We start from the raw sequence: 10,311 nt of genomic DNA, 5'->3' as shown, positions 1-10,311 counted from the left end.
ACCAGCCTGGCCAACATGGCAAAAACCCTTCTCTACTAAAAATACAAAAATGAGCCGGGCATGGTGGTGCATGCCTATGATCCCAGCTACTCAGGAGGCTGAGGCAGGAGAATCACTTGAACCCGGGGGGTGGAGGCTGCAGTGAGCCGAGATTGCGCCACTGCACTCCAGCCTGGGAGACAGAGCGAGACTCTGTCTCAAAAAAAATTTTTTTAATTAAAATGAAAGTTCGGAATCCAGCCCTCCCTACTGAGCCTGCCCTTTTTACTTGTGAGACGCGGGCTCCCTCTGCTGGTAGCTCCTGGAAGAGCTGGGTCACTTCCATTAGCTCACTAAGCGACGCTTTAGGGAAGGGATAGGGTGAGGGTTAACCCTTCCTGGGTGCATGCTCAGTGCCAGGCCCTGTGCCCACTGGGAACACAGATGAAGACCCTCCCCAGGCAGTGATAACTTGGCTGTCATCTGAGGGCTGTCACTAAATCTTTAGGCAGAAGCTGTACTCAAAGCTCCCCCTCACCCACAGTTCTCACTCACCCATGGCTCAGCTGGAGCTTATAAGAAAGGGGCCTGTGGTCAGGATAAAGTATGAATCCAGGTGCTTCCATTTACCAGCTCCTGCTCTGTAAGAGGAAGACCTGACTTTCCAGATTGCAAAGGTTCCTTGAGATGGTGTTTGGAGAGCCCACTGTGCTGCTTGCTCTTCCCGCCCCAGCTGTCCCATCGTTTTGAAAAGCTGTGGGATCCCCTCTGGTCCCAGGATCCCAGTCCAGTAGTCAGGGGGAGTAGGGCAGGACGGAAGTGTGTGAAGGGTTACTCCCAGGCTAGGTGAAATTTCCTTTAGGTGGTCACAGCAAAGGAATTCTGACTCCTCCAGGCAACAGAGTCGGCTGGCGGGTCGGGGGTGTTCCCCTGAAGGGCTCATCAAGTTCCCTGGCCCCAGAGCTCTCTCTGCACCAACTGGTTTCTTTGGGTAGCTCTGGCCACTAGTTTGCACTCTTTCCTAAAAGCTGGGTTCAGGGCCAGATGCAGTGGCTCAAGCCTGTAATCCCAGCACTTCGGGAGGCCAAGTGGGTGGACTGCTTGAGGCCAGAGTTCAAGACTAGCCTGAGCAACAGTGAGCCTCTGCCTCTACCAAAAAGATAGAAAAACTGCCATGATGGGGGCCTGCATCCCTGGCTACTTGGGAGGCTGAGTTGGGAGGATCGCTTGAGCCTAGGAGTTCAAGGCTGCAGTGAGCCATGATCATACCATTGCACTCCATTCTGGGAGAGATAGCAAGACTCTGTGTCTGTCTATCTGTCTGTCTCTCTCTCTGTATAATAAAGCTGGGTTCAGCCTGCTAGGACCATGGGCTGGGGTCTTCAGCTTTGAGTGAGTGGAAAACAGGCCCTAATGTCCAGGAAGCCAGTGTCCTCTAGGGTAGAAGACATGTTGTGTGACTGGTGTCTTCTCCCTGGAGCCATCGACGATGGGACCAGTAGCACTCGGGTTGGGGAAGGGCAGGAAGAGAGGTGCAGACCCGTTACAGCTGGGCCTGTCTATAGCTCAGCAGGGTCTGACTCCTCCTGACACTCCCCTCCGGCCTCTCAGACAGTGCTCGGGGTGAGAGCCACACCCACAGGGGCAGCTCCGTTGCCATCAGCTGCAGTGGCATAGTCAAGCTCCAGCTTCTCATTGCAGCCTGGTCAGTAGGGCAGGCAGGGGGTAGGGATGGGACAGGGACCTTCTCTCATCCACAGGCTAGAGGGGCCACTGGTCATCGTGAGATGGGGCCATGACTCTGGGGTGAGGTCCCCTCAAGGGCGCTGAGTACTTGAGGTTTGGCTATCAAATCACCCTGACTTCCTGACCAGCCCACACCCTCCAGACTGGCGGCTGGAGTACCTCTCTTGGAAACTTTAGTTTTTTGCCGTCCTCGCCTTTTGGGGCTGGCCGACTGTGGAGCTTAAAGAAGGCACGTGGTCTCTCAGTGTCCAGTCCCAGAGGCTCCAGTGTTGACAAATGTTGTTTATTGGTCTGTTACACAGAAGAGTATAGTTTCTGAGGCAAAAATCATACACACTCTGCTCCTCACAAAACCACGGAGTCACTAAGGCAGGCACACAATGGCCACACGTGCTTGGTGGAGGCCAAGGACTCACGGACAACAAGGATGGACAATGGGGTGGTCTGGCCCCCAGACAGGCTGTGCAGTGCCCGGGGGCAGGGCTGGGCTGGGCAGGCTGTGCTGGGTGCAGAAGGGCTGCGGGGCCCTTTGTCATGTTTCTCAAATGCAGAAAGTCTGCCAGACTTTGGTGGCTGCTGGACTAGGCCCCAGCCCCGGGCAGGGCCTCCATGTTCCAGGGCAAGGCCTAGCCTGCATGTGTTGGGGTAGAGGAGGAAGTGGGGATGGCCGAGCAAGCAGCATGCCTAGGCCTGGGGGCAGGAGCTATGCCCTTCCTGGCACCCCCGCATACACAGCTCCTCCAAGGGGGTTTCTGGGTTCCTAGGCCTCTTGGCATCCTGAGAAGCATGTGGAAGGCAGAGCTAGCCTTGCTTCTCACCAGGGACAGATGGGGACACCCATGCATCCCCTGCCTCCCGCAGTCTCAGGGACATGGCAGATGTCTGCGACAGATAATGGGCTGCCCTCGAACTGAGGCCTGTCTCTGAGGGGAGGCTGTGACCGGATTCTTCCCCGACAGAGTCACCCTGGGATTCCTCAGAGCAAGTGCTCCGGTCGCATTCCAGATCATCCACTGGCAAAAGCATCACTTCTTACACGTGGTTTTCAGGGAAGTACCTAATGCAGAACGCAAGGGTGGGGTGGCAGGAGCGAGGCTGTACAGATACACAGAGGTACACTGTACAAGGCCGGGGAGGCCTGGGGGTCACCTCAGGTGGCCAAAGGCAGTGGCAGTGCTGCTGAAGTGGGCTGCTCCCACCCAGGGCCCACATCTTCCGACTGCCCCAGAATCTCGGGGGAGCGGCCTGAAGGCGGCCCGGGTCTCCCGTGCCCGGGTCTCCCGCACCCGTGACGTGTGCCTAAACCAGAAGCAGTTTTGGTTGCTCCAGCTGGGGCTGGTGCACGCACAATATACTGGGACTGCAAAGGGACCCTCAGAAGGGACACAGCACAGAGCCTCTCGCCCTCTGCCACCCCAGCTGAGTAGGGCCCAGGCCGCTATAGCCCCTGTTAATCCTGTGGGGCCCCAGGTTCACTCGTGGGCAGCAGTCCAGGCTGCGGCTGCAGGTGGCAGTGGGGCTACTCCCAGATGTGTGAGAGGGGAGCAGAGTAGGTGTGTCCCCCAAGGCAGCTGCTCCCTGAGGCTGACCCCTCCCATCCCGGCCCTGATCCGAGGGCATCCTGGCCCCTGACTTGCCCTGCAGGGTCAGCACTGCCGGGAGTCGGATCCAGGCTCACAACCGCTTTGTTAGGAACAGAGGTGGGGTCGGTTGGTGGCTGGGGAGGTCTGGGCGGTGACTCCCCTGCACCTCTCCCTGCCGGAGCCCAGGCTCTGCACGGCTGCTGCCTCCTGGCCCCAGCTCACTTGTTCTCTATGAGCATCTGCACCTTGTGGACGAGGTCCCGGGCAATCCGCAGGATCTCCTGGGCATCGTGATGCTCAGCACGTTCTGGGGGGAAACGTGAAGAGCTGTAGAGAGGCCCAGAGAAAGGGCAGCAGGCTAGGAGGTGGCTGACTACCCTGCTCTGTTTCCATCTGCTCTGCTAGATTCTTGACATCCCGGCCTTTGGGGAAGGGCCCCCAGGATTCCTGAGAACCCTCCAGCTGTGTGCGGGGCAGAGGTGGGGGCCTCCACACCTCTGCTCAGGGCAGCCTGGATGGCTGGACCAGCTCGTACCATTGAAAAACTTGATGATGTCAGTGAAGTCCATGTTGTTGTCACGGATGATCTCTCGGTAGGCCTCCACCAGGGCGAGGGCGATGAACAGGACAAAGTGCTCCGATGAGATGTGCCTGGCTGCCCAGATCACCTCCCACACAGCAAACACATCCTCATACAGCAGTTCTGCGGAGAGTAAGCGGCTGCTGCTCACCCGTCCTAGCCGCATATCTGGGGCTGAGGCTGGGATTGAGGCTGAGGCTGGGATTGAGGCTGGGGCTGAGGCTGAGGCTGAGGCTGGGGCTGGGGCTGATGCTGGCCGGACTGGCTGCTCACAGGCCTCTAAATGGAGCCAGGTGAGGGATCAGAGCTTCAGGGGCCAAAGTCGTGGGATTCTCTCCATGACACAGAGCCTGGCTCAGGAATGGGGGTTCTGTACCCCGTACCAAGGCCCCATCCTTTTCTTGGGTAATTTCTGCACACTGGGTTCCTGCAGACTCTGCCTGCACTTCAGCCGGGCAGCTGTCACAGGCCTCCCATCTTGGTGCTCAGGAATGCTTTGGTTTGAAAAAAGTTCCCCAAACTATGATCTATGAGAGTTGTAACTGTCAACCCTAGTGGCACTTCGGAATCACCTATGGAAATTTTGTTTTCTTTTCAATTTTTTCTTTTCTTTTCTTTTTTTTTTTTTGAGACACAGTCTGGCTCTGTTGCCCAGGCTGGAGTGCAGTGGCACAATCTCAGCTCACCATAACCTTGCCTCCACTACAGGCACCCGCCACCATGCCCGGCTGATTTTTGTATTTTTAGTAGAGACGGAGTTTCACCATGTTGGCCAGGCTGGCCTCAAACCCCTGACCTCAAGTGATTTGCTTGCCTTGGCCTCCCAAAGTGCTGGGATTACAGGCATGAGCCACCGCACCCAGCCTCATTTTTTCTTTCTTTTTTAAAAATTAAAGACAGGGTCTCGCTATGTTGCCCAGGCTAGTCTCAAGATCCTGGGTGCAAGCGATCCTCTCACCTTGACTTCCCAAAGTGCTGGGTTTACAGGCGTGAGCCACTGTGTCTGGTCAGCGAGCATTTAAGAACCCATAGGCCCAGGCAGCCACAGTTCATGAGTCTGGGCTGGGTGGGGCCAGGGTTCTGGCAGGTTTTAAAGCTCCCCAGGTGGTTCCAAGGTCCAGTTAGGATTGAGAACTGTTGGCTTGGGGGAAGAGGGATCTCTCACTGTCCCTGACCTCAGCCCCATGATCCAACCCACTTCTTACCTCTCTTAAAATCCAGCAGGAACCAGCGATAACAGAAGTAGAAGTGGGTGTAGTCTCCATTCTGATGCATCAGCTCAAACAGCTCTGAGTCCAGGATCTTATGTGGGTGGGAAAAGGGAGAGAGGCTGAGCCCTGAGCCGATGCTGCCTCTGGCCGCCACTCACCGTCCGCTCACGCCCAGGGATGCAGGCGATCCCCAACCTGGCAGTGGGTCTGTCTGTTGCCCTGTGCTGCGCGGTGCACTCTCTCCCCCTCGGATCTCCTTGTGGAGGGTGGGTTGCTCCTGCTGCCCCTCCCATCACCCATCTCTCTGAGCTGCATTATTTTTAGGGTTATAGGATTTTCTGGGTGTCTGATGTCATCAGCAACCCCTACTGTTCGCCAGAACTTTCATGGGCACGAGCATTCACACACACACACACTCCTCCTCAATTTCTAACGCTGAAACCATGGTTTTTTTTTTTTTTTTTGAGACAGAGTCTCGCTCTGTCACCCAGGCTGGAGTGCAGTGGTGTGATCTCGGCTCACTGCAACCTCCACCTCCCGGGTTCAAGTGATTCTCCTGCCTCAGCCTCCCGAGTAGCTGGGACTACAGGTGTGTGCCACCACGCCCGGCTAATTTTTGTATTTTTAGTAGAGATGGGGTTTCACGATGTTGGCCAGGCTGGTCTCAAACTCCTGACTTCGTGATCCGCCTGCCTCGGCCTCCTAAATTGCTGGGATGACAGGCCTGAGCCACGTTGCCCTGCTGAAACCATGTCTTTTAAAATGAAAGAAGTTAAGTTTCTATGTCAAGTATGTTTGTGGAATGCTCCCTAGCCATGTGGACGATGGACCAGCCCAGCACTGCCTGCTCCCATGCCCATGGGTGGCAACCGGCCTCACCTGGATGAGGGAGCGCATGTTGGCAAAGTGGGTGTCCATGGCACCCCCGTTGGGGAAGTTCTGGCTCATCCTCTTCATGAGGTGGCTGAAGCAGCTGTAGGCCAGCTGATCTGAGGGGAGACAGGAGTGAAGCTGGCAGGGCAGGAGACGCAGGGGACAGAGCCGGCTCCCATTCCCACCCCTCCAGACCTGGCCACCCTCTCGTCCTTTCTCCAGCTTACGCAGCCCAGTCCCATGTCCCGCCATCCCTCACCATTGTCGAGGGTGACCAGGAGAGGCGCCAGCAGATCGCACATGCCCTGCACATAGCCCACGTCCAGGTGCTCCCACACGTAGCTGAAAGGCAGGGGGAGAGTCACTGTGGCTGTGCCCCATTCTTCCCTCCCTCGGGATCCCTGGGAAGACGTCCTCCAGAGCCACCTGCCGCCCAGAAGTCAGCCTTTCCACGACCCTAAGGCATGTACTGTGCACCCCCCACAGGGAGACAACGGGGAACAACCCACGGGTCCCCCCCAAGGCACTCCGACTTAGGGAGAGCCAAGGCCGTCACGCTTGGTATGTGGGGCGGGGGTGCGGGGATGAGGGAAAGCTTCCTGAAGAGGTGTGGCTGAAGTGGAGGTCTGGTAGGCCCCTAAGAATGAAGAGGCGCGGGGGAGGGGTGTGCAGGAAAAAAGCGTTCCAGGCAGGGGGAGCCAAGTGTGATTCAGGAGCAGGAGAGAGGAGCAGGGCACCTTCCGGACCTCATCTTCACAGAGTAACTGGCGGCAGGGTCCCGCCTCCCACCCTGAGCCCCGCCCCACAAGGCACCTGCACATGACGTCTCTGAGCCTCTCGAGGTTGGGGGGCGTGAAGTACCAGTAGTTGCGGTCACACCTCTGCACATCCTTGTCTATGCGGTGCAGGTTTAAGGCCACAGTGTCCAGTAATTCTATCTGGAAGAGTGGAGGGCCCTCAGGCATGAGACCGGGCAGCCCTTCCCAGGCTGGGGGCAGGAGGTGACGCCCCAAGAAATGCAGCAAAACGGAACCCAGAGACCAGAGCGAGTCCTGTGGGGATGCTGAGAAATGGGCTCAGAACTCCCTTCCAGGGCAGTCAGGGCGCCCCGCCTTCCACCCCACCAGCGCTTCCCCAGCTCTGGGATGTCAGGAGGGCCTCTGGGGCGGCTGGGAACAGCCTGGGGAGCATGTACGCACAGTGTAGGCAGCCGCACACACAGCCGCAAGCTCCTCTCCGGCCTCCAGTTCTCCGGCCTGAGGCTTCTCCTGGCTGGGATCCTGGGGCTCCCTCAAAGTGTGAGCTGCAGGGCCGGGCCCACTGGAGCCTTCCTCCCCACCGCCGTCCTCCTCTTCGAAGCCCACGCTCTGCCCCTCATCTAGGCTTGACTGGATGCCCGAGGCCACGGAGTAATTGCGAGAGGAGGGCAGTCCTGAGTCTGGAGAGTCGAACTCCACGGAATGCTGCTGCTCCACCACGGCGGTGCCCGGAGTCCCGGGTCCTGCTTCCTGCTCAGGTTTTGGTCTGGAATCTTCAGGGTCCTGGGGCTCCGGGGGTTCCAGATCATCCACTGAGATAAACACCTGGGGGGTGAACACAGGGCGGCTCCACCTGCACTCCAGCACCTTCCCGCAGCCCACCGCCTCCTCGGGCCAGAAGGGAGCTGGAATGCAAAACTCTTCACACCCCCTCTCCCACCACAGCCTCCAACACTGTGGCCACGGGGCACCAAGCCAGCTTCTGACCCAGCCAGCCAGGCGGAGAGAAACAAGCCTCTGGCCAAACATGAAGACACGTCTTCAGCCCTGCTTGAAGGAACAGCCCCAGGTCTTCCTGTGGCTACTGAAGGGAAGTAGGGGAGCCAGGGGGCTGAACGCTCAATGGCCAGTTTGAACTCAGTCTCATTCTAGAAACGCCTGAAGTCATGAGACCGGGAGAATGGCCTTAGTGTTTTGGTGTGGCTGGGTGGAGAGAAGCCTAGAGGTTTTAGGAAAAACAAGTTTTGCCTTATTTTCAGTACTGAGTGTTCAGCAGGACAAGACAGGAACGTTCTGTAGCAAGCACCTAGTCAGTTCCATTAGCCCTCAGGCAAGGTGGGGAGATGTAGGAAGGAAAAGCAAACATTCTGCCTCCTAGATACAGTCCACCACCATGGACAAGGCACGAGGAAAAGAAGAGACACATACAGAGACTGTTTGGGATTTTTCTCTCTCTGTTTTCACCACGTAGGGAAAGCAATGCTAAAAGTAGTTTCTACTTTGGGCAGGAAGCATGAAGTGCTGGGTAAGGCCACGGTTCTGTGGCAATCTAATACGCCAGCGAGGAGCTACTGCTGTCCATGAGCTCAGCAGCTGGGCACTGGCACAGACAGATTTTTACAAAACCCAAAGCCAGAGAGAGGGAGAATGTGTTCCTGGATAGGGGATTAAGAACAAAGCACGTGGGAAATGACAATGTGCCTTGTTTGTTCTATTTCTTTTTTTTTATTTTATTTCTGAGGCAGGGTGTCTCACTCTATGGCCCAGGCTAGAGTACAGTGGTGGTATCACGGCTCACTGCAGCCTCAACCTCCATGGCTCAGGTGGTCCCCCCACCTCAGCCTCCCGAGAAGCTGGGACTACAGGCGCACCCCAACACATGCGGCAAAGGTTTGCATTTTTTGTAAAGACAGGGTTTCGCCATGTTACCCAGGCTGGTCTCAAACTCTTGAACTGAAGCAATCCTCCCACCTCTGCCTCCCAAAGTGTTGGAATTACAGGCATGAGCCATCACACCCAGCCAGTTATATTTAACTTACTTCAACTTACATTTTCTGTTAATGTTGGTAAGGATTTAGTAAAGTAACAAGAATACACATTATCTAAAGAGGCAATTTTAAAGAAAAATTAATAAAGCGTCCTTAAAATTGAAACTTATCAGTGTTGGTTGGGCCAGGCAGTCACAGTTTAGAACTTGCTGTTCAAAAGGCAGGAGTGATGCCAGAAAGAGCTACCCTCCCGTGCTCCGAACAAGCCTGCCATAGTCAGTTCTGTACAGTGACAGGCAACATCGCGGGGAGGAAGGATCTCGCCAGTCGACACCAATGGGGCTGCTCTACGGGCTCCCCTATTCTCAGGCCCACAGATCTCAGGAAGCCTCTGCAGTCAGAGGATATGGGTGGAGAGGGGAAACTGAGACCCAGAGACGGGAAGTGCTTGCCCAGAGACATTCAGCTTGTCAGTAGTGGATCTGGGACTAGAACCCAGCGCTGCCTGTTGCTAGCTTTGAGGTCTTTCTACAAGGAGGAGGGCTTCCCTAAATCCCAGTAAGTCCATCTTTCCCTATAGTTGGCTAAAACTGAGCACAATGCACTCTCTCACTTTATTCCTACAATACCCAGAGAAGTAGGCAGCAGAGGCACAGTTAGCCATTTCCAGTTGGAGAAAATGAGACACAGGCACCTTAGGCCTTTCTCGCAGGGCCCCACCAGTTCCCAGAGGTCAGGCTGGTGCTCAGGACCACTGTGCATAAAACGCGGGTGGCCCCCGAGACCCCCAACCCTCCAGGTCCCGTCTGGCTCACATCGTTGCTGATGGTGGAGTCTCGGTGGATGAGGCGCTGCACGTGGCTGTCGATGCTGCTGCCTGAGGAGAACTTGGTGCGTGTGGCTGGGTGGGCCTCCCGCTCCCGCTGCCTCACCACCACCTCGCAGGCCTTCCACTCTGCCAACACCTGCTGGTACCTTGCTGCCACCACTGCGTCCACCTGTACTCAGACCACACCACGACCATGGGGGAAGCGTGCACCAGGCCCTCCCCTTCAGGAGCTGGGCCTGCACTGGACCTTGGGTCCTGAGTCTCAGACTCAAGACGGGCCTCAGGGTAAGGACGGTGGAGCTGCCCTGCCATGCTTCTTTCCGGCTGGGAAGGGGCTGAGGCTTCCAAGGTCCCCTCCCTGGCGTCCCCTGGCCCAGCTCCCCATCTCATCAGCCCCATGGGAACAGGCTCCCCTCACCTGCTCCATCTCCTTCTTGCTCATGCCGAACTTGTAGTGGCCAAGCAGAAAGGGCCAGACGTCCTTGCGGATCTCGTGCTCTATGCCTCCGTAGTAAACTTGCCGCAGCAGCTCCAGCTCTTTGTAGTTCTGAGGGACCCGGGGAGTCAAGACTGTGCAGCCTCCACAGTCACCGTGGCCCAGCTGGGTGAGCCCCATCCCACGGAGAATGGGCTGGGGCGGGGCCTGTAGTGACTGCTGAAGCCCAGGCAAGGCCTGCTTTGGGGTGGCCACGTCCTCCCGTGCCCCAGCTCACAGTGGGATGAGATCTCGTTCTGCTCTCCTTCCTTAAGGGGCAGGAAATGGC

General features: G+C 56.9%; 1 protein-coding gene across 20 annotated transcripts in view, besides 1 other annotated feature; it reads right to left on the bottom strand.

Annotated features, from left to right (window-relative positions):
- Positions 17-226: an enhancer, noted in NCBI's record as "active region_11492". NCBI's record gives its function as "activates an Ori minimal core promoter by ATAC-STARR-seq in GM12878 lymphoblastoid cells {active_cell/tissue: GM12878}" and the evidence as "EXISTENCE:reporter gene assay evidence [ECO:0000049][PMID:35858748]".
- Positions 1,993-10,311, bottom strand: part of SGSM2 (small G protein signaling modulator 2) — a 43,554-nt gene continuing 35,235 nt past the window's right edge. For 6 of the 20 annotated variants that reach the window (XM_011524101.4, XM_011524105.4, XM_011524106.2 and 3 more), the window contains 10 exons: positions 9,966-10,094; positions 9,534-9,716; positions 7,172-7,555; positions 6,786-6,910; positions 6,232-6,314; positions 5,979-6,088; positions 5,094-5,190; positions 3,844-4,011; positions 3,554-3,635; positions 1,993-2,782 (listed from right to left, as the gene is read on the bottom strand). In XM_011524101.4, coding sequence (XP_011522403.1) covers positions 2,758-2,782; positions 3,554-3,635; positions 3,844-4,011; positions 5,094-5,190; positions 5,979-6,088; positions 6,232-6,314; positions 6,786-6,910; positions 7,172-7,555; positions 9,534-9,716; positions 9,966-10,094 — 1,386 coding nt within the window. In that variant the 3' untranslated portion in view covers positions 1,993-2,757. Of the gene's footprint in view, positions 3,636-3,843; positions 4,012-5,093; positions 5,191-5,978; positions 6,089-6,231; positions 6,315-6,785; positions 6,911-7,171; positions 7,556-9,533; positions 9,717-9,965; positions 10,095-10,311 lie in introns of those variants that run through there. The other 14 variants (XM_011524102.4, XM_017025474.3, NM_014853.3 and 11 more) reach the window with 6 other exon arrangements.

This window comes from Homo sapiens, chromosome 17 (genome assembly GCF_000001405.40).
Source record: "Homo sapiens chromosome 17, GRCh38.p14 Primary Assembly".
Lineage (NCBI taxonomy): Eukaryota > Metazoa > Chordata > Mammalia > Primates > Hominidae > Homo > Homo sapiens.
This window is presented reverse-complemented; position numbering and strand designations above follow the sequence as displayed.